The sequence below is a fragment of the Homo sapiens genome, chromosome 14 (genome assembly GCF_000001405.40).
Source record: "Homo sapiens chromosome 14, GRCh38.p14 Primary Assembly".
Lineage (NCBI taxonomy): Eukaryota > Metazoa > Chordata > Mammalia > Primates > Hominidae > Homo > Homo sapiens.
The window spans coordinates 23,106,003-23,127,664 of record NC_000014.9 but is presented as its reverse complement, the minus strand read 5'-3'; the positions used below and the strand labels follow the sequence as shown (position 1 = coordinate 23,127,664).

The window sequence follows — 21,662 nt, the reverse complement described above, 5'->3', positions numbered from 1 at the left end:
TTATTAAAAATTTTAAAATAAAATAGGCAACCTGTCAGCCATTCTGTGAGAGCTGCCCGAGGCTGGGTGGAGACCAGAGGAGACCCTGGACTTAGGGGTCAGTGGGCACAGGGAAGGTGGGAAGGCTGGGGCCTTCATAAGCAAAGAGTAGCCGGCGGGAGATGCAGGAGGCAGACCAGGTGGCGAGGATTCTCTTCAACGCACTGACTGCTCTGAAGAGGCAGAACCTGGAGCAGGAGAGCCAGGAAGGGCCGGGGCCACTTGGCCAGGTTGGTGGGATACTCAGCATTGGCCTGGTTTCTGTGTGATCTCTTCCTACAGAGCTGCTAACCCTGGTGAGCCAGAAGATGTGTGTGGTCGTGTACCCCGAGGTGGAGCGGGGCTCAGGGACAGAGGAGGCTAATGAGGACATGGAGGAGCAGCAGCAGCCCATGTACCAACCCACTCCCACGAAGGACAAGGACGTGGCGGGGCAGCCCCAGCCCTGAGGACCACCATTCCCTGGCTACTCTCTCCTTCCTCCCCCTTTTATCCTACCTCCCTGCCTTGGTCCTGCCAACACATGCGAGTACACACACACCCCTCTCTCTGCTTTTGTCAGGCAGTGGTAGGACTTTGGTGTGGGTGGTGAGAAATTGTAAACAAAAACTGACATTCATACCCAAAGAACCAGCCTCTCACCCCAGGGTCCATGTCCCAGGCCCCACTCCAGTGCTGCCCACACTCCCAGCTGCTGGAGGAGAGGGGAGATGCCAAGGTGCCCTGCAGGACCTCCCTCCGGGCCACACCCTCAGCTGCCTCTTCAGGAACCGGAGCTCATTACTGCCTTCCCTCCCAGGGAGGCCCCTTCAGAGAGGAGAGGCCACAGGAGCTGCATTGTGGGGGGACAGGCTCAAGCAATTCTGTCCCCATCAAGGGGTCAGCTGGAGAGACCCAAGACCCTATCTGTTCACCAGGGACCCAAAATCCAAGGGGATGCTTCCCTCTGCCCTCTTTCCTGCCCCTCCCCATCATACCTGCACCCACCCCAGCCAGGGCTCCCTGTCCAGAATTCGGTTCTCCTCAGGACGCCAACTCCCAGAGCTAAGGACCAAGGAGAAGAACAGCCTCTCCACCCCCAAGCCAGGCGGTTGAGGAACATATTGAGAAAGGTTCAGATTGCAGAAACCCAGCCCTGCCCCTGCCTCCTGCATCCAGCCCCCAACATGGTGCCAAAGCTTCCAGAAGCCAAAAAGCTTCTGATTTTTAAGGTAGTGGGCATCTCTCTCCTAATGACGAAGCTGCTCAGCAACTCCACCTGCCCGCCGCAGGAAGGAGCAGTCCCCTGCTATCCCTGCAGCCACTCCCAGCACACCCGCACACAGCCAGCACCACCGCCCCCACCGTGCACTTCTCCTCTCTGGGCCTTGGCTTGGGACCAGGTACGAAGGATCCCCAAGCCCTTCAGGCCTGAGATCAGAGCCAGATCAGCCTTAAGTCACCTCCCATCCAAGAACTTGGCCTAAAAATACTCCCCTATTTCTAACCCTCAGGACGGATCTGATATTAAATGCCTTCCCTGGGAGGAAGGGTGCTTTCCCCCTCCCTAGAGGTGCCCATTCCATACCCTGGGAGACTGAGGAGAGCATTGGCTGAAGCCCAGTTCCTTTCCCATCCATCCCCAACTCCAATAATCCCCCACTCCTCGCAGGTCTCAGTGTCATGCTGTCTTGGGGCAGGGTGAAAGGGTAGTGGCAGCAGGGCGCCCACTCTGGAGATCCTCAAAAAAGGCCCTCCTCTGTGGCTGGCAGCCTCTGACCTTTCCCTGGGCTTCAAAGGAAGGCTATGGAGTTTGCTGTGGGCCCTGCAACCTTCCCAGCCACTCCTGCTGCACTAAGGACTTAGGATCCTTTTATCACAAATCGGGATTCTCTCCCCCACCCCGAATTCTGTCTGCTTAAACTGGAATACACAGGAGCCCTTCCTGGCCTGGATGGTGTCTCCCAGCTTCCCCGCCCAGCTTGCCCACCCCATAGTTGGTGAGATGCCAAGTTTGGTCTGAGTTGTGACCCCTTCAGAGTAGATGCCCGGCAGGCTGGGGTTGGCCCCTGGAGGGTCAGGGGACCATCTTCTTATTCCCTCTTTTCTCATTCCTCCAACTTCCTCCCCTCCTTCAATTATTTTTTTGTAAAGTTGATGCCTTACTTTTTGGATAAATATTTTTGAAGCTGGTATTTCTATTTCTTTTGGATTTTTTTTAATGTAAGGTTGTTTTGGGGGATGGAGTTAGAACCTTAATGATAATTTCTTTCGTTTGGTGTAGGTTTTAGAGATTTGTTTTGTGGAGAGGTTTTTTTCTTTTGATGTAATAAAATTTAAAATGGAAATGAAGTTGGTGGTGTTGGTAATTAAGTAACCTTTTGAGACAGAGTCACCAGGCATTTCCTCTTAGGAGATCTTGCCAGGTTCCTTCCAGAATGACATTCCTAAAAGCTCTCGCTCTCTGTAACTTCTAGCTATCCTAGGGACTCAATGCCAGTGCATTCAAACCACTGACTCTCATTCTGAACCAAAAACATCAAAAGACAAAAGTACAACGAATTTACAGATCTCAATTGTTTACTGTAATTCTGGAATCAGGCAACACTTCATTCCATAAAATAGAATACATATTCCAATGAGTTGAGCAGAAGAGGTTGGCTTTACAGACAGGGAGGGCTGAAGAAAGCTGGTTAGTCACTTTTCGAAGTTGCTTTTCTTGGCCGGGCACAGCGGCTCACTCCCGTAATCCCAGCACTTCGGGAGGCCGAGGAGGGAGGATCTCTTGAGCCCAGGAGTTTGAGACCAGCCTGGGCAACATAGCAAGACCTCGTCTCTACAAAAGATAAAATTAGCTGGGCATGGTGGTATGTGCCTGTGGTCCCAGCTCCTTGGGAGGCCGAGGCCGAAAGGAGGATGGGTTGAGCCTGGGAGGTCGAGGCTGCAGTGAGCTATGCTTGCGCTACTGCCCTCCAGCCTGGGCGGAAGAGCAAGCCCCTGTCTCAAAAACAAAAACAAATTTACTTTTCTTGTAAGGTGGGGACAGGGAGACGGAACAATAGAAAAATAACTGATTAGTTCATATCAGGATCCTTCAGGCTGCCTTGTTTTGTGTAAAGATTAAAGCAGAGGGAACTTCATTATCATGTCCATTGAATATTGAAACTGGCCTGTTTTAATTGGCTGTTATGTCTCTCTCCTGATTTCTAGGAAGGTCAGATAACAACTTAGTTTAGATTTGGTGATGTGGAACTTTAGCATGGGTGATTCTATTTTGATTTTTAGCCTGGTCTGTGGGGCCTAGGGCAGGAGCTTAGTCCAAAACCATGGCCTTCTGTAATTTTTTATTTAACAACACTGTCTCACTCCTTCTTGGAGTCATGAAGTGTTATTAAGTTCCTGCTCTGTGCACCGTACTGAAAGCCTGCAGACTAACTGGGAAGAAGTCAACATTGCCCAGGGTGGGACATGGGCAAGGGAGAGATGGCATCCAGCCAAGTTGAGGGAGGCAAAGGCAGATGTCCTCCCAAAGCCTGATCAGCAAAGGCTTCTCTCATCAGCACAGCCTGAGCCGAGTCTGTGGAGAGAGTCAGGGTCTGAGGAGCTTGATGGGAGGGCCTGGGAGGTAAGGCTAGGTTCACTCAGCTGGACAGAGCCATCTGAGAAGAAGAGTTAGCTCTAGGAGGAAGAGTAGGAGGACCACTGGACTAGGACAGGGGAAAAAGGAAAAAGTCGTTAAGGTATGTATAAGTACTTCCTGGCATTTTGGGCTAACTGCTAGAGGAAGTTGATGGGATTAGCCCCAGTCCTTGCTTTGTGTCCCTGTCTTTATGGGCCGCCCTCCTGGCTGCGTGTCCTGGGACAGTACCATTCCAGAGCCAGCACTGCTGGCAGATGTAGGGCAAGGGCGGGAGTAAGGGGGTGGTGGAGGGGCAGTGGTGTTAAGACATCACCCTTCACCATCTGGAACACTGTGAGGACACAGGCAGGCAAGATGCCGCCACTCCCAGTCCTGGCCTGACGCCAACACTCCTGCTTTGTGGCTGTCATTCTTCCAGACAGGCTGGAAGCTCGCCATTCAACAGGGACGCTGAGCTGGGAGGCGGGCCACTCAACAGCTGTGTGTCCTTGGGCAAGTCACCTCACCTGCTTAGCATTTTGAGAAAGAAAGAGAGCTGGACCTAATCTCAAACAGTTCCTCAATCTTCCAACTTTAGGTTGTCCCAAAAGGCAGAGGCTGCCAGTCTTGTCCAAGCCTCACATGTGCCCTTTGGGCCCCTCTTTCCCAGCACACACACCTTTCCTTTCCCTTCCCTGGACTGCCCCAGGCTCCTCCCTGTTGCCCCATTTGAGCATGTCCTGTCCCTCATCCCTTCTACTCCATGAAGGCACTTGTCCTTCAGGAGCACCTTCTCTTTCTGTGACACCTGCTGATCTTTTCAACCTGGTCAAATGGGCAAATGTGGGTCTCCTCCTGGGCAACAAACATTTACTTTTAACCTGGCCATTTCCCGTCTTAACCCTGCCAGTCACTTTAATCCTAGGAGTTTCACATGCTCTGACTTCAGGGAATTTGGGAACATTTTGAAAGTCACTGAAATTGTAGCTGCTTATGCATTCATTTATTAATGTGGTCACACGACAAATCTTTCTGTGACCATTCTGTCAAAGACTTTGCTATATGCTGTGGAAATAGCAAATTTTTTCCTGATTTTTCTAAGTCAGCACAGACTTCAAATATTTTCTTCCATTGTCTCCATAAAGATATTCACCTGTGTCAACCTGCCTGTCCTTCTTTTTTTTTTTGAGACGGAGTCTAGCTTTGTTGCCAGGCTGGAGTGCAGTGACGCGATCTTGGCTCACTGCAACCTCTGCCTCCCAGGTTCAAGAGATTCTCCTGCCTCAGCCTCCCGAGTAGCTGGGATTGCGGGCACGTGCCGCCATACCCAGCTAATTTTTGTATTTTTTTTTTTTTTAGCAGAGATGGGGTTTCACCCTGTTAGCCAGGATGGTCTTGATCTCCCGACCTCGTGATCTGCCCGCCTCAGCCTCCCAAAGTGCTGGGATTACAGGTGTGAGCCACTGCACCCGGCCCTGTCCTTCATTTTAATTCAGGAAATATGGTCACCATAGTTGAAGAGGTCCAAAAGATGTAACTGACCCTACCCTCAAAGAGCAAATAGTTTGCCAGGGGAACGAAGCCAAGGATACGCACGGCACACATATGTGTGCGCTTCCTGGCTCTACAGACCACCCATGCCTTGTTGGAACCACTGCCTGTGGGCCTTCCTGCTGGGCAGTGAGCCCTACTGGCGAGGGCTAAACCCAACACATCCCCAGACCCCATGCAGTGCCCCATGAGTACCTATATGCTCAAAAATGTTTGTCAAACTGACGCACCACACCAGGCAGCAGGTAGTGTCTGTTTAGGAGACACAGATAAAACTGCAATGAGAGGTCAGAGGAAGAGAAGAAGGAGACTTCACATTTACTAAGACCAGATGCATGACATACATTATGTTATTCACAGTTTAAATTAAACAACCCTATGAAGGAGGTATTACTACTGCCACCTTGCAAGGAAGATTAAGTAACTTGCCAGGGTCATGGAGCTGGTCAGTGACGGAGGCCAGATTTGAGCCCAGTTCTCCCTTAACACTTCACAGCCATGCTCAGTTACCTTCCTACTGGGAAAGTCTTGATTCACCAAGGAGGTGGCACTGGAAGGAGGCCTGTTACAAAGTCACTAAGATAACAAACATGCATCATTTCAGTTAATCCAAAGAGGTAGTAACTGCAGTGGCCAAGGAAAAATGATCCTGCTGACCCGGCAGAGCTTCTTTCCTCTCCTGAGCAAGAATCCCCCAGCCGCTGACTGGCACTGCCCTCCCCACCTCCCATTCCTGTCCAGAGCTCCCCTTCCTGTCCAGAGCTCCCCCTACCCTACCCTGACATCCAGAGCCCTGCCTGCCCCAGCCAAACCCCTGTTACTGGGAAACACTGAGGTCAGCATGCCAGCAACGTCAGCACTAGCCGGGGAGGCCAGGGCAGAGATTTATCTCACCATGGCTAAAGCTGCTGACTTTCTCATTTCCTGCGGCTCTGTTTGCATACCTCCCACATCCTCCTGTGCCCAGTTCACTGAAGCTACTGATGCAGACTTCCCCCTCCCCACGGTGGCCAAATGAGGGCCAGGAAGGTTCTCCGAGTCACATAGCAACCCCTTCCCATCCTTTCAGCCAGAGACGAACCAGGCATCCTCCTTGGATGACCTTGGGTAGCTCAGCCTCTCAGCCTTGTTTTCCCTGTTTATAAAGTAGGAATAAAAATACTGTCTGCCTTGCCTACCTTCCCGCATAACCCACAGGGAAAGAGCATGAAAAAGTGTAGGTTTCAAGGATTGAAAAAGCATTAATTTATCAGAAAGCACAAGGCCTATTCATTATCATTATTTCAAAGTAGGGGAGGGAACAGAATTTCTCCTCATGGAGACAAGGCCCTGGACCCAGTACTGGCAGGCTGCTCATTCTCCCTGGAACTGCACTGCAAGACCCCATCCCAGCCAGGTTTCCTCTTCCTCCTTCCAGATGCCCCGCAGGAGCCTGCCGAGAGCCAGCGCTGTGAGAGGCTGCCCTCTGCTGTCCACCTGAGTCCGGACCACAGCAGCCCTCCGAGTCCGAAATATTGGGGCCAATATTGCCACCTGGTGGTCAACACAAGCACTGCCACCAAACTGAGAGCTCAGCTTTGAAATGGAGAAATCTCCCTAATTCCTGACATCTGTCTCTGGGTTACACGCAGATCTCCCCACACCAGGTCACTGTGCTTTCAGATAAAGCATATCTGGCCATGTCTCAAGTCATGCACAGAGAGCATCTGGGGTAGGTGTTGGGGTAGGGAGGATGTAAGGAATATGCTAACCGGAATATGCTAATCAGAATATGCATTTTTAAAATTTTAATGTTCAATGCGACACACATCCTCTCTGCACTTGTCCTACTGTGGCCCACTCACAGTGAACCACCCCTTGTTTGGCCCAACTTACAAAAACTTCTGGTCCCTCTGGGGCACCCATAGCACTTGCTGGTCATAAAAGAGTCAGTAACATTTCTATGTGTCCTTCCCCCCCCCCCCCCAACTGGACCTACAATCCCTTTTGGAGATGAAATTCAACAGGTAAAAGCAGTACCAGAGCAGGTGTCTCTGAAAGGAGGTAGTGGGGAGTTCCCAAAGGAAAGAGAAAAGGGAAGAGGAGAGCCAGCACAGAACAAAGAATTGCAGAGAGGGAGCCATGGGCTTCTCCTGGAGACCCTAAAACAGAGCCCCAGGAAGAGGTGATGACATAAGAGGCTTCTCAAACCTCACAAGAGGAAGTAGACCCAAGAGACACGCATTGGAGATCAGAGAGCGGCCATGCAAAAGGAAAGACAGCAAACGAGCTGCAGCAAGCTCCTAAGCCCTGCAGCCCAGGCACAGGAAACCAGAGGCAGAGCCTCAGGCCCAGGGTGAGGGGCGAAGCACCAGCCTGAGCCTCTTGCAGCACAGAGCAGCTGGAAGAGAGAAGTGCTGGAGCCACCGGAGGATTATGGCTGTCTACTCCGAGGGCAGCAACCTGCCTAGGCCTGCGGTGCAAGGCCCAAGTCCTGACCAGGTGCTTTGGCCAAGCCCAGGGAGTTAGGAAGTGTACCAGGCTGCTAGAGGTAGCTAGGGCTGGAAACGCACTAACATGTGGGCTATTGCACAGCTCCTGTGCAAAAACCTAGCAAATGAGCATGCTCTGGAGCACCACGCAGGCTCGCGTGTAGAGCTTGTTCCTAGGACCTATCACTACTCCCTAGACCCCTCAAAAAACAAACCCTGGCCTACACTCAGAGAATGCTCTGGGAGGTGGGGCTACAAAAGAAACTTTCTCTTGGGGGTAGGTGGAGCCCAGCAGCAGGGGAGAGCCAGAGGAAGGCGTGTCAAGGGAGGAGGTGAGACCCAACTGAGGGTAGGCACTGGAAGAGGGCTTTCTCTCTTCACTCTAACTTGGAACCTCATTCTGCATAGAACTTTTTCAAAGTCGGAGGGAGGAGGTTGCTCAGAGTGGGGTGTTGCCCTCTGCGAGGATTTGGAGTCCCCTGGCCTCCCAGCAGGGAGTGGAGAGGCATTCCCAGAAGCATCAGCTTCGGGCATCTCCAGAACCCTGGCTTGGTCCCTGACCAAGGAGTGTCCCCAACTGCTGAATAGGCCAGGAGTCGCCTTTCTCTAAGGCTTACATCTCTCCCTCTGGGGTGTGTCCTGCCCCTCCCTGAGTCACCCCAAGGGGAGAGAGGGGAAAAAAGGGAAGAGAAGAGAGGCATTGACTACAGAGGAAGGAAAAGGAAGCAGAGCAGAGGGGGGAGAGAGGCCACACAGGAGTGGGTGACAGAGGAGACTGCAGAGGGCAGGTCTAGGGCAGAAGATCGAGAGAGGGCAGGCCCAGGTCAGGAGGAGGTAGAGAGAGGGCAGCCGGAGCACCCCAAGGGGTGCCTCAAGAGCAGGTGGGGGCGGGGAGCCGAGGGGGCGGGCCGGCCATGTCCCACGGGACCTACTACGAGTGTGAGCCCCGGGGTGGCCAGCAGCCACTCGAGTTCTCAGGGGGCCGAGCTGGGCCCGGGGAGCTAGGGGACATGTGTGAGCATGAGGCCTCCATTGACCTCTCCGCCTACATCGAGTCTGGGGAAGAGCAGCTTCTCTCCGATCTCTTTGCCGTGAAGCCAGCGCCTGAGGCCAGAGGCCTCAAGGGCCCCGGAACCCCTGCCTTCCCCCACTACTTGCCGCCTGACCCTCGGCCCTTTGCCTACCCTCCACATACCTTCGGCCCAGACAGGAAGGCGCTGGGGCCTGGCATCTACAGCAGCCCAGGGAGCTACGACCCCAGGGCTGTGGCGGTGAAGGAGGAGCCCCGGGGGCCAGAGGGCAGCCGAGCTGCCAGCCGAGGCAGCTACAATCCCCTGCAGTACCAAGTGGCACACTGTGGGCAGACAGCCATGCACCTGCCCCCAACTCTGGCAGCACCCGGCCAGCCTCTGCGCGTTCTCAAGGTAAGAGCAGGCCAGCCCTCCTCCCTCCTGCCCGGGGCTGGAGAGGCTGGTGTGGACAGGACCCTGTGCCCCGGCTCATGCTGCTGAGCCTGTGCTTGGTGTCGCTCTGTGAAATGGACCCAACCCACAGTCCTCTGTGTTCACACCCCACCATGACCTCCCTTTCCTTCTCTGTGAATTCATTCCCACCCTGAATCCCCACCCAAAGCCCCTGTGGCAAGCTGACCTACTTGATCTCAGGCCCCCACCGCCAGCCTCTCTGCTGCTCACCATGCCCCCTCCTCTTGTTTCTCTGCCGCCTGCTTCTGTGAGAAATGTCTACTGGTCATAGAACGGGAGACTCAAGGCAGATTGAGGGAAAGTGTACTCAGAAAGTGTGAGAGCATTGGCTGGGTGTCGTGGCTCATGCCTGTAATCCCAGCGCTTTGGGAGGCCAAAGCAGGAGGTTCGCTTAAGGCCAGGGGTTGGAGACCAGCCTGGACAACATAGCAAGGCTCCATCTTTACAAAAAAAGAAAGAAAGAAAGTGTGAGAACATGAAAGGGAGTTTTGGTCTCAAGCAGAGGACCCTGTGCATCTGGGTCACCATCTCCCAGAAGCAGAGCGATGATAGTTTTGACCTGAGAGACAGGAGCTGGCTCTGAGTCCTGTATTCCTTTGACGCATCAAGTGTGCCCTGGCTGCCGAGATTCCCGCCCCGCCTCCGCTCTGCCTCCTGGCCAGCCCTCACCTCTCCGTCTCTCCGTGCCTTCCCCTCCAGGCCCCTTTGGCCACTGCCGCACCCCCCTGCAGTCCCCTCCTGAAGGCGCCCTCCCCGGCTGGCCCCTTACACAAGGGCAAGAAGGCAGTGAACAAAGATAGCCTTGAGTACCGGCTGAGGCGGGAGCGCAACAACATCGCCGTGCGCAAGAGCCGAGACAAGGCCAAGAGGCGCATTCTGGAGACGCAGCAGAAGGTGCTGGAGTACATGGCAGAGAACGAGCGCCTCCGCAGCCGCGTGGAGCAGCTCACCCAGGAGCTAGACACCCTCCGCAACCTCTTCCGCCAGATTCCTGAGGCGGCCAACCTCATCAAGGGCGTGGGGGGTTGCAGCTGAGGCTGGCTGGTGGATTGTGGGCACCAGGCTCCCTGGCACGGCCTAACTCTGCGGACCCCCATCCTGCTGGGGGCCTAGAACCCTGAGACATAGACCATGGATAAATGGCAACCGGGGTGGCAAAGAGGGCAGGACCCAGCATAATGATTATATGGCTGAATAAAGTTGCACTGTGACTGGGTGTTGGGACTGTTGGCTGTGTGTGTGTGTGTGTGTGTGTGTGTGTGTGTGTGTGTGTCATGGAGGACCCTGGGGACAGAGGATGCATGTGGCTAGGTCTGCACCTCTTGTTTCCATGACCAAGTGGACATGTGGAAACACAGACATGCTGTCCACAGCCCACCCCCAATATACCACACAGCCAGGCCGTGTATCTGTCACTCTGCTCTTCTCTCCCTGACATCCCCCATCACCCCCTTCTGTGAGCTGAAGGCACATCCCCGCCCCCCACAGGACCTGGAGCACCTTTGTATGCTCTGCTAACAAAGATCTTCAGCTTGTAGGGAGATCCCGGCACCACACAGTCCTTCATGCCCAGGCCTGCTGATCCCAGGCCCACTCTCTCTCACCTTGAGGTATAGGTCTGGGAGCTCCTGCCCCAGGTGACCATGGGAAAATTCCTGATGGCTCTGCCATATTTATGGTCCCTTGATCCAGCCCGCCATCTCTTCTCTCCATTTCCAAAGCCTCAGTCTACCAGATGGACACCCTCCCCACGCTGCTCCCACCCATTCATTTCCATCCTTTGTCCCTCATCCCTGAGGCTCCAGTTCCCTAAAGCTTGAGAATTGAGTGCATGGGACAGGAATCGGTTGGGAAAGACCTGGAGACCGGATTTGTGTATGAGAACACTGGTAGTGAGAAGGAGGATGACAATCTGCCCGTGCCAGGGAAACCCATCATTCGAAACAGCATTTTCTTTTGCATTGGACTACAGCCTAAGAGACAGAATGGTACAATAATTAAGAGCCTCAGTTTGAATCTTACACTGCTACTTACTAGCTGTGAGCCTTGAGCCATTATGTCTTTCTGTGCCTCAGTTTCCTCATCTGCAAAATGGTTGCAATATTTGTCCCCACTCCGTAGTGTTGTTATATTCATAGAAAAAGAAAACTTTGCATGTAATAAGCATATTTATTATGATTCCTCCATTTTGCTGGAACTGAAAGGACCTCAGAGATCTCATCTAAACTCATTTTGCAGGTAAGAAAACAGGCTGCAAAGAGGGGAAGGGACTTACCTGGAGTCACACGATTGTTTAGAGGTAGAACCAAAATTGGCTCTGTAAAATCGCAGATCTCAAGATGTGCTGGGAGAGACCTCAAGAGATCATCTGGTGGGCTCTGCCCTCAGACCAGCAAGGTAGGGTGAGCCACATTTTACAGATAAAGCAGTTGAGGGCCAGAGGGGTAAGAGGCTTCTCCTGACACTCACTGAGTCCCTTTGCTGCCTCAGTACGTGGTACCTGTCTCTCTACTCCACGCTACACTCTTCTCACAGATCCTCAGTACGAGTGTCACATGAATCACATTCAATAAAGAACAGTGCCCAACAGTGTCAGGGACCCAGGGACAGATTACGGGCTTCTTAAAGTCTCTCCTAAGCCAATGCTGTGAAAGGCTGAGTCAGACATCAAGGAATAATTTTCTGAGAAGGTGAGAGACTGGTGTCTGGATCATCCCAGATCTCTCTCCCTTCTTCAAATCTCCAGCGGTAGAGCCCTCCCACACCTCGGGCATCCGTGTGCGGCATGTCTACCTTGCCCAGGACTCAGTCCTTTTCCTGCCTTTGCCTCTGTGTCTCTCGGGCACCTCTGTGTCCTGGAGGCCCGTGCCCCAGGTCTGGTTTGGAGGGAGAGATCTGAACCTTCAGTGGAGGGACCGACTGGAGCTTCCTGAGTTCAGAAGGAGGGGAGGTACCAGTCTCTGTGGGCACCTGGGAGAATCCTCACACCTTCCTTTCAGCCCAGGGGGATAGGTTGCATAAGGGGGGTTTGTACAGAACATGGTAAATGACTCAACCTCCGGATTTCCTCCTCTCAGCTCAAGACCACTGTCCCTTGACTTACTTTCAAGGTTCTGGGTGATGGGACCTGGGTTGCTTCAGCATGAAGCCCAGGCTTTGTTCCCACAGCTCTGAATTGCTTCTCCTCTCAGGCCCCCGCTCACCCAGTCAGGTCCTCAGGGCCGGTGCCTAGTGGAGCCTTCCTGACTGGCACCCAGTCTGGGGGAGTCACATCCCCGTCTCCCCACTGTGATCCCAGCGTGACGTGCAGCAGCTGAACACATCCCAATCCTCTGCATCAGATCATATTCCAGGGGTGTGAGTCAGAGCCAGAGGGCACACTTCCTGAAAGAGGCTTTCAATCTGACCTCAATTGGTTTTGGCCAACGTAACTTATTCAACAAGTATTTGTTGAGTATCTTTTCTAGGAATGAGACAAGTTCTCAGCAGAAGGAGTAGGAAGAAAAAGTCAATAAACAAGTGTGCTGAATGTCTTCCTTTGCCCCTCCAGAACCCTCTCCACCCTTCATCACCCTACACAGTCCCCAGGTGGATGCCTCCCTACATCAACCAGCCTCTCATGGGGTGGGGGTGAGACTGGCAGGAGGAGAGTGGTGGGAGCCCCCTGCTGACCGGCGCTCTCCACAGTCCCTCCCAAAGGATTCCTGGCCCTCAGGCGCCCCCCGTGCTGGGCTAGCCCAGGGGACTTCACCACTCCAGGAACTTTCCCCAGATACTGTTGGTTCACATCTTCATAAAGCACCTTAATTAACTTCTCCTGCTTACTCCATTTGAATAGCCCATTGGGGAAACCACATAAACCAACAGGTAGGGAGGCTATTTTAGCTGGGGTGGCCGAGAAAGGTATCTCTGAGGAAGTGACATTTTAGTTGACACTTCAAAAATTTTGAGAAGGAGGCAGGTATGTCTTTGAGTGTAAGGGTGAACAGAGGGAAGGGTAAATGCAAAAGCCCTAAGGTGACCGAGAGAAAGGAAGCCAGGAGTAGATGCTGAATGAAAGAAGGAAGGAGAGGATAAGTAAGAAAAAGATGCACCTTCCCTCCAGAATGGGGCTGCAGGGGTTGCAAATGACTATTTTCATTCCCTCTGTCAAGGAGGATGGTGCCTAAGAAGCCGGGGCAGGTGGAGAGCAGGGTTCTCTCTGCCCCTGGATTCAGCTTCCCTGCCCCTTGGTCCTCCTGGCACCTTTACCACAGTAAGGTTGTCCCCACTGGGGAAGGAGATGACAGAAAGGAGCCCAGGGAAGGGCAGTTAGCCAAACCCTGCCTGGGGAAAGGCACCAGGACCGGGGACTCGATAACGTTTGAAAACCAGCAAATCAAGGTCCAAACAGCACACGCATGCAGTCCTATTGCTTCAGCGCCCACAGCTCAGGCCCACTTTTCTTTCTGGAGCAGAACTGGGGAGCAGAATGAGACTCCTGAGCTGAGAGACAGGATCTTAGGCCACAGGGAAGCTGCAGAGGAGAAGACAGACTGTGGGGAGACACTGCAGAGGGAGGAAGCTGCCCAAGGTGAGTCTGCCAAGGTCAGTCAGCGGAGGCAGTGGCTTGTGAAAGCTGCCCCCAACCCCCCTGCTCGGTGCACACCTCCCCACCCCTCTACACAGATTGCCACATGCCTGGGCCCCCAGGGCCCCCATCCCAGTGTTGCAAGATCCCGGTTGGGGTTGTGGGTGGAAAGGGGCCTCTTCACCTCCACCCCCTGCCGTGCTCCAAGCCAGTGAGGGGACTATGGGATGAAGGGGGCTGTTCAGGAGACGCTGAGGCAACAATAGGCAGGGCTGGCTGAGAGCCTGTGCGTCTCCTCTCGGACAGGCCAGTCACTTCCCATCACCCTCACCAGCACCCCCCACCCCCCGCAGACAGACCCCTCCTCCCGACTCAGCATGAGCTGCTCCAAAATGGGAGTGGCCCAAGCTGGACAGAACCCCTGGCTGACCTCTGTCAGCTGCTTCCATAAGCAGGCCTGGCCTGGCCTCAGAAAACCTCAGTGGCATATGAGAAATTCTCCCCAAGGGGAGAGGGTGTGGGTTTTCAGAGGAAAATGGCTACAACTTAACTTTATCAAAATGGCCATCAATTCTGACTTCAGAGAGCAATGGAAAGGTCCCAGGGCCTGGGAAGGGGCAGGCTTCTTGATAGGGAAAGACCCACCACAGAGCTGTAGCCTCTTGCTTCTCTTTTATTATTTATTTATTTATGTATTTATTTTAGGTCCAGGGACAGACTAGATTTTTCCCTTAGATTTGCTTCCCTTTTAGAAGAAACAGGGTTCTAGGGGTAGGTAGAGGCAAGCCACACATAGAATGGATCCATCCCCTACGCCCCATGAGCTAAGCTTCACCCTGGAGTCCTAAACTGTCCAAACCCCTATTGCTCACCACGCCCCCCCCACCACCACCACCACACACACACCTAGCACTGTCACCCCTGGCCAGGCTATCCAACCTTGCTGCAATCGGGACGGTTTGCAAAACGCCTTCTAGCTCCCGCTTTGTCACCATCTGAGGTTAGGACTGTACTCAGGAGATAAGCTCAGGCCCCACCCGCTCGTCCCCAGCGAGACTGCTGGCCTGCTGCAATCGGGACGGTTTGCAAAACCCCTGCTGGCTGCAGCTCTGTCACCATCTGAGGTTAGGGCTGCACCCTAAGATAAAGCCTAGCTCCTCCCTCCAGCCCTGCCTTCAAACCTCACAGGCAGCATGGTCCCAAGAAACAGAGCTCCTGGGAGCCCACTCAGGGTCTGGAAGCATTACACCAGTGCAAAGACCCCTTCTCCTTGGTCCTCCCCTCACCCCTTCTCCCCTCCATCCCCAGCCTCACCTTTGCATACTGTCCTCATTACCATCCTCTCCTCACTCTCCATCTACTCACCTTCTATCTTCTATCCTCACGCTTCCATCCCTCACCTCCCTCCTGCCTTCTCACCACATTCATTTACTCAAAAAATACATACTAAACACCTACTTGAAGCCAAGCACTTTGTTATAGAAGCTATGGGACACATAAGGAGAACAGTCCCTGCCCTTTGGGGGTTTATAGATTAGTGAGAGTGACAAACATAAGACCACAAACAAATTGTGGGCAGTGTCATCTAGCAAAAGTAAAGGGGTGACTGATGGCCGATATTAACATGGGTATCTGATTTAAATGTGAGGGTCGGGAAAGGCTTCTTTGAAGGGATAACATATCGGCGGATATCTAAATGATGAGTAGGAATTCATCTGGCAAAAAGTGGGGGTTCCCAACAGAAAGAAAAGTACACACAAAGGTTCCCAAGCAGGTCCTTCTCATTCACTGACTGAAGGCTGGGGGTGCAGGGCAAGATGCTGGGAAGAGGCAGAGAGGCTTGAAGAGGCTGAGGCCAGAAGCTCCCTTAGATGGGATTCAGAGCATCAGAGGGAGAACCAGCCTTCCAAGGGAAGAAGACGTCTCCTCTTTTTTAACAAGAAACAGAGGAGATGGCAACAGAATCAAATACAAATAGGTTTGTAGCAAGCCGGGGCTGTTCCTATCTTATGGCTTTTATTTTCACCATGAAAGAAGAGATAACCAAAAGTCACTGAGCAGGAGGGGAGGCTGGAGGTTTGAAAGTATAAAATCCAGCCGGACGCAGTGGCTCACGTCTGTAATCCCAGTGCTTTGGGAGGCTGAGGCGGGCGGATCACAAGGTCAGGGATCGAGACCATCCTGGCTAATACGGTGAAACCCCGTCTCAACTAGAAATACAAAAAATTGGCTGGGTGTGGTGGCGGGCACCTGTAGTCCCAGCTACTCAGGAGGCTGAGGCAGGAGAACGGTGGGAACCCAGGAGGCGGAGTTTGCAGTGAGCTGAGACCGAGCCACTGCACTCCAGCCTGGGCAACAGAGTGAGACTCCATCTCAAAAAAAAGAAAAAAAAGAAAGAAAGTATAAAATCCTAGTTGGTGAGGGTAGAAGAGGGAGCTCATTGCTGAGCTTTCTGACTTGAAAGCGCCCAACTGAAGCTGACGATGACCACTTTAGAGTGACATGTCCTCTGGGATGATTTTGTCCAGTGGTCCTTAGGTGCTTGAGAGCAAGTGCGGAGAAGACAAATGTTAGGTCCATCTAGAGTTGAGACTTAACCAGGGAGATGAGATGGAAAGGACAGACAGGGGAGAGGAGTTGAAGGCATTAACAAAAGGGGATTGCAGTGGTGAGCCTGGAACCTAAGGCAGAGAAGGTGAGATGTGAAGATGGGAAGGGCTGTGGTTCCTCATGAGCTTAATAGAACAGCTGCTGGGTGCCAGCTTGAGCAAACCACCATAAGGAAAGGAGATTCTATCAGCGTGGGATGTTTGATTCCGTTATTTCATAGGTGCTGCAGTTTCTGGTGGTGATAAGGCTCTGGGTATGGCCCTGGGAGAGGCTCACTAGGAGGAATAGAGGAGATTGTTAGAGACAGAGGGTGAGGGAGCTGAGAGGCCAGCCTGCCAGGGGGAGCATCCATATGAATGATGACCCCACCTGGACGACAGCTCTCCTCCTACCAGCCTCTCTCCACAGTCGATATTTCTGTCATCTCCACCCAGTTCCTCATCAACATCCTCTCTCCTTATCCCTAATTTCCTACCACCGCACCCTTTTCCTCTTCTTCATCCCATCCTCTCTAACTTCTGTTCTTTTGTCTAATCTCATCCTCTCTTATCCTCCCATCCTCTCTAACTTCTGTTCTTTTGTCTAATCTCATCCTCTCTTATCCTCCCATCCTCTCTAACTTCTGTTCTTTTGTCTAATCTCATCCTCTCTTATCCTTCCATCCTCTCTCCTTATCCCCATTCTCTCCTCATCATCTTCTTTTCTCCTTGCCCTCTTCCTCTCATCACTACACACTGGAGAAGCAGGATTACACAGTGGGTTCAAGCGCGTGCTGAGGTGCCTAACTATGTCGGTTCAACTCCTATACTGCCACTTACCACCTATGTACATTGCCTAATTTTGCTGTACCTTGATTGTAAAATTGGGATAATGATAATGCCTACCTCATGAGGTGGCTGAAAGAACTACATGAGTATAAAGCCCTTGGGCTGGGCATGGTGGCTCACGCCTGTAATCCCAGCACATTGGAGAGACAAGGCAGGTGGATCACTTTGAGCTCAGGAGTTCGAGCCCAAGCAATATGGCAAAATCCCATCTCTACTAAAAATACTAAAATTAGCCAGGTGTGGTGGCATATGCCTGTAATCCCAGCTACTTGGGGGGCTGAGGCTGGAGAATCACTTGAACTCAGAAGGCAGAGGTTGCAGTGAGCCGGGATCATCCCACTGCACTCCAGCCTGGGTGACAGAGCAAGACTCTGTCTCAATCAATCAATCATTCAATCAATAAAATAAAATAAAGTGCTTAGAACAACATGTAGGCACAAAGCTGTGCCCCATAAAGTGACTATTATTCTCACTCTTTCCCTACCTCCTTGCTCCTTCCTCCTTCCTCATCTTCATCTTCTTACCTTCATTACTGTCCTGCAACTACTTCATACCTCTTTACAGAGGCAGAGACAAATAAGACTCAGCCCCTGCCCACCATCTAGCAGGGAAAAAAATACAAAAATAAATGTCAGGATAACATAATAAGAGAGCTCCTTCGAACATGTGAAAGAAATGCTATTGGAGAACAGAAGATTTGAGAACTATCTCTACCTGGGGGAGCAAAGAAGTCTCAACCAGCAGATAACCTCTGGGTTGGATCTTGAAAGATGAAGAAGAATTTGCAGTGTAAAGAGAAGAAAGATTAAAAATTAGCTGGGCATAGTGGCATGTACCTGTGGTCCTAGTTACTTGGGAGACTGAGGCGGGAGAATCGCTTGAGCCCAGGTTGAGGCTGCAGTGAGCCATGATCGCACCACTGCACAGGAGCATGGGTGACAAAGTGAGACCCTGTCTCAAAAAATTAAAAATCTAAATTTTAAAAAGATAGGAAGGATTTACTAAAATGCATGAAGTTCTTCCACCCGCAAGTTTGAAGTTAAGATCAGCCCATACCGTGGCCAGAGCACACCCTGTCTCAGTACAGCCACAGGGGAGCAGCAGAGCATTAGGAGCTGCAGACTTAGGCCAGAAAAACCTAAGAAATCTGGGGGAAGAAAGACTTCAGACACTTAGAGAAAAAGACTAGGTTTGCCTTAGGGAAAAAACAACAGTCCTCTAAAGATTTGTACACATGATCGCGCCACTGCACTCCAGCCTGGGCGACACAGCGAGACTCCGTCTCAAAAAAAAAAAAAAAAAAGATTTGTACACATGGTGATAATAAAAAAACAGGCCAGCTGTGGTGGCTCATATCTGTAATCCCAGTGCTTTGGAGGATCACTTCAGGCCAGGAGTTCGAGACCAGCTTGGGAAACACAGCAAGACCCTGTCTCTACAAAAAATTTAAAAATTAGCCAGGCATGGCGGCACACACCTGCAGGAGGCTGAGGTAGGAGGAGGGCTTAAGCCCAGGAGTTCGAGACTGCAGTGAGCTACGATCATGCCACAGAACTCCAGCCAGGGTCACAGAGCAAGACCCTACATCAAAAATAAAAATAAATTTTTAAAATATGCCAGGCATGGTGGCTCACGCCTGTGATCGCAGCACTTTGGGAGGCTAAGGTGGGCAGATCACTTGAGCTCAGGAGTTCAAGACCAGCCTGGGCAACATGGTGAAACCCTGTCTCTACAAAAAATACAAAAATTAGCTGGTCACTATGGTGCGCACCTGCAGTCCCAGCTACTCGGGTGGCTGGGGTGGGAGGACTGCTTGAGCCCAGGAGGTTGTGGCTGCAGTGAGCTGTGAGTGTGCCACTGCACTCCAGCTTGGGACAGAACAAGACCATGTCTCAAAAAAAAATAAAATAGTATAATAATAAATCTAAGTAAATAATAAAAGAACAGTTCTCCTCTGCATTGACAGTGTATACAATATGTATTCTTTTTTTTTTCTTTTTTAAGAGATGGGTGTCCGTCTGGGAGGTGGGGAGCGTCTCTGCCCGGCCACCACCCCGTCTAGGAAGTGAGGAGCGCCTCTGCCCGGCCGCCGCCCCGTCTGGGAAGTGAGGAGTGCCTCTGCCCGGCCGCCACCCCGTCTGGGAAGTGAGGACCGCCTCTGCCCGGCCGCCGCCCCATCTGGGAAGTGAGGACCGCCTCTGCCCGTCCGCCACCCCGTCTGGGAAGTGAGGAGCGCCTCTGCCTGGCCACTGTGCAATCTTCCAAGTGTGAAGTGACAGCCTTTCTGCAGGTGTACCCAACAGCTCCGAAGAAACAGCAACCATCGATAATGGGCCATGATGACGATGGCGGTTTTGTCAAAAAGAAAAGGGGGAAATGTGGGGAAAAGAGAGATCAGATTGTTACTGTGTCTGTGTAGAAAGAAGTAGACATGGGAGACTCCATTTTGTTCTGTACTAAGAAAAATTCTTCTGCCTTGGGATGCTGTTTATCTATAACCTTACCCCCAACCCCGTGCTCTCTGAGACATGTGCTGTGTCCACTCAGGGTTAAATGGATTAAGGGCGGTGCAAGATGTGCTTTGTTAAACAGATGCTTGAAGGCAGCATGCTCCTTAAGAGTCATCACCACTCCCTAATCTCAAGTACCCAGGGACACAAACACTGCGGAAGGCCGCAGGGACCTCTGCCTAGGAAAACCAGAGACCTTTGTTCATGTGTTTATCTGCTGACCTTCTCTCCACTATTATCCTATGACCCTGCCACATCCCCCTCTCCAAGAAACACCCAAGAATGATCAATAAATACTAAAAAAGATAAATAAAAATAAAATAAAAAATAAAATAAAATAAAATAAAATAAAAAGAGACGGGTGTCTCCCTATGTTGCCCAGGATGGCCTCAAACTCCTGGACTCAAGTGATCATCCCACCTCAGCCTCCCAAAGTGCTGGGATTACAAGCATGAGCCACTGTGTATAATATGCATTTTTTTATTTAGTATTTACCATAAACCACACACTGTTCTCAGTGCTTTATAAATATTCACTTACTTCTCAACAACCCCAAAAGTACAGTCACCCCTATTTTACAGATGGGAAAACTGGGGCACTTCATCAAATTTACAAATACATTTCTACAGATAAAAAGTGGCAGTGTTTACCTCCAGAGTTTGGGTGCGTGAAAGCCAAGACCCTGGGCCCCTGGAGGGTCACTGAAAAATCAGACATGAGGCAGATCGAGTAATAGGAGAAAAGGCATACACATTTATTTATTCATTTATTTAGAGACGGAGTTTTGCTCTTGTTGCCCAGGCTGGAGTGCAATGGCGCCATCTTGGCTCACTGCAACCTCCGCCTCCAGGGTTCAAGCAATTCTCCATGTACATATGAGAACCTCCAGAATGAAGACCTAACCCCACCCCCATGAAGTACAGCTTATATATCATCTTGAGGTTACAGAAAGAATGGTGCCTTGGATCCTAGCAAAACAGGTTATAGGAGGGGTGAAAAACAGGAATTCTGTTGAGGGGCAATAAATGATTGCTAAGGAGAATGAATGGATCTGGGAACAGAGATTAACTTGTAAACAGTTCTAACAGTGAAAAGGCCTGTCCAGGTGTGGTTACATTCTTGGTCTTAGGGGAAGAAGAGGAAAAACTGCTTTACTTGTTGAGTCTGGATCTTAGGCAGATAGGGCCTGTGCTTTGGGAGAGATGAGGGGTGTGGGTGTGTGTGTATGGGGGTAAGGCAGGATGGTCAGAGAGACCTTGAGGCTTCTTCTTCAGTTCAGCATGTCAATGCTGTATTTTGGGTTACGGTTTCTGAGCCCCAACAGGTGTCTCCCTTGTAATCAGTAGTTTCAACCACAGTTCTGGCATGTGAAAGTATAAAATCCTTGGGAAGTCAGCAGCCCTACTCTAAACTCTAGTCCATGTCGGTCACCAATTAGCTATTAAAATATACTACCTAAAACAGCTGTTTCTTCAAAAGTTAAATAATGGGGTTAGGTTCTATGTCTTCATCCACACACTGAAGACCAGGCCCGAAGGGCTGTGCTGAGTGGTGTGGACACAAAGACCAACAGGAAGCAGGCTTACCTTCAAGGACTTCAGGATGTGGAGGGAGAGCCACTAAGCCAACAATTATAACAGAGGATGACAGTGTTCTGTTAGGAGCTGGGAGGAGAGGCCCCTCCTGTGAGGTGGTTCCCCACCCACTGTGCCAGGTGTGGAATTTGGGCTGGGGGTATTAAGAAAGGCTTCCAAGGGTAATTACCAGAAAGGTAGGAATTAGCCAGGCAGGCCGGGGGAGGCCGGGGGAGGCGGGGGGAGGGCGGGGGGGCGGGTATCCAAGCAAGGGAAACAGGATGTGAAAGCACAGCATGAGCAAAGAAAACAGAGTTCCTTAAGAGTATCTTTGAACATTAATGTCCATTTTAAGAGTTTCTTGGCCAGCAGCGGTGGCTCACGCCTGTAATCCCAGCACTTTGGGAGCCCGAAGCAGGTGGATCACC

At 51.7% G+C, this 21,662-nt stretch overlaps 2 protein-coding genes across 6 annotated transcripts in view, besides 8 other annotated features; both read left to right on the top strand.

The window, feature by feature from the left end:
- Window positions 1-2,370, top strand: part of SLC7A8 (solute carrier family 7 member 8) — a 58,366-nt gene extending 55,996 nt beyond the window's left edge. For all 5 annotated transcript variants that reach the window (NR_049767.2, NM_012244.4, NM_001267036.1 and 2 more), the window contains one exon: window positions 322-2,370. Coding sequence is in view for 4 of the 5 variants with exons in the window: in NM_012244.4 (NP_036376.2) it covers window positions 322-488 (167 nt within the window). In the remaining variant the exon portion in view is untranslated. The remainder of the gene's footprint in view (window positions 1-321) is intronic.
- Window positions 3,576-4,075: an enhancer, noted in NCBI's record as "H3K4me1 hESC enhancer chr14:23592799-23593298 (GRCh37/hg19 assembly coordinates)". NCBI's record gives its function as "activates a minimal SCP1, AML or CMV promoter by ChIP-STARR-seq in naive H9 embryonic stem cells {active_cell/tissue: H9 hESC(naive)}" and the evidence as "EXISTENCE:reporter gene assay evidence [ECO:0000049][PMID:30033119]".
- Window positions 6,402-6,461: an enhancer, noted in NCBI's record as "active region_8167". NCBI's record gives its function as "activates an Ori minimal core promoter by ATAC-STARR-seq in GM12878 lymphoblastoid cells {active_cell/tissue: GM12878}" and the evidence as "EXISTENCE:reporter gene assay evidence [ECO:0000049][PMID:35858748]".
- Window positions 6,542-6,591: an enhancer, noted in NCBI's record as "active region_8166". NCBI's record gives its function as "activates an Ori minimal core promoter by ATAC-STARR-seq in GM12878 lymphoblastoid cells {active_cell/tissue: GM12878}" and the evidence as "EXISTENCE:reporter gene assay evidence [ECO:0000049][PMID:35858748]".
- Window positions 7,081-7,611: an enhancer, noted in NCBI's record as "H3K4me1 hESC enhancer chr14:23589263-23589793 (GRCh37/hg19 assembly coordinates)". NCBI's record gives its function as "activates a minimal SCP1, AML or CMV promoter by ChIP-STARR-seq in naive H9 embryonic stem cells {active_cell/tissue: H9 hESC(naive)}" and the evidence as "EXISTENCE:reporter gene assay evidence [ECO:0000049][PMID:30033119]".
- Window positions 7,692-7,771: an enhancer, noted in NCBI's record as "active region_8165". NCBI's record gives its function as "activates an Ori minimal core promoter by ATAC-STARR-seq in GM12878 lymphoblastoid cells {active_cell/tissue: GM12878}" and the evidence as "EXISTENCE:reporter gene assay evidence [ECO:0000049][PMID:35858748]".
- CEBPE (CCAAT enhancer binding protein epsilon) lies at window positions 8,410-10,359 on the top strand. Its single transcript, NM_001805.4, has 2 exons — window positions 8,410-9,083; window positions 9,843-10,359. Exons 1-2 carry the CDS (start codon window positions 8,574-8,576, stop codon window positions 10,176-10,178), a joined length of 846 nt encoding a protein of 281 aa, NP_001796.2. The 5' UTR covers window positions 8,410-8,573; the 3' UTR covers window positions 10,179-10,359.
- Window positions 11,700-12,899: an enhancer, noted in NCBI's record as "P300/CBP strongly-dependent group 1 enhancer chr14:23583975-23585174 (GRCh37/hg19 assembly coordinates)". NCBI's record gives its function as "activates an origin of replication core promoter dependent on BRD2, BRD4, P300/CBP, MED14 and CDK7 cofactors, with strong dependence on P300/CBP, by STARR-seq in HCT116 cells {active_cell/tissue: HCT116}" and the evidence as "EXISTENCE:reporter gene assay evidence [ECO:0000049][PMID:35650434]".
- Window positions 13,065-13,783: an enhancer, noted in NCBI's record as "H3K4me1 hESC enhancer chr14:23583091-23583809 (GRCh37/hg19 assembly coordinates)". NCBI's record gives its function as "activates a minimal SCP1, AML or CMV promoter by ChIP-STARR-seq in primed H9 embryonic stem cells {active_cell/tissue: H9 hESC(primed)}" and the evidence as "EXISTENCE:reporter gene assay evidence [ECO:0000049][PMID:30033119]".
- Window positions 21,111-21,405: a silencer, noted in NCBI's record as "tiled region #2207; K562 Repressive non-DNase unmatched - State 7:EnhWF". NCBI's record gives its function as "represses a minimal TATA promoter and a strong SV40 promoter by Sharpr-MPRA in K562 cells {active_cell/tissue: K562}" and the evidence as "EXISTENCE:reporter gene assay evidence [ECO:0000049][PMID:27701403]".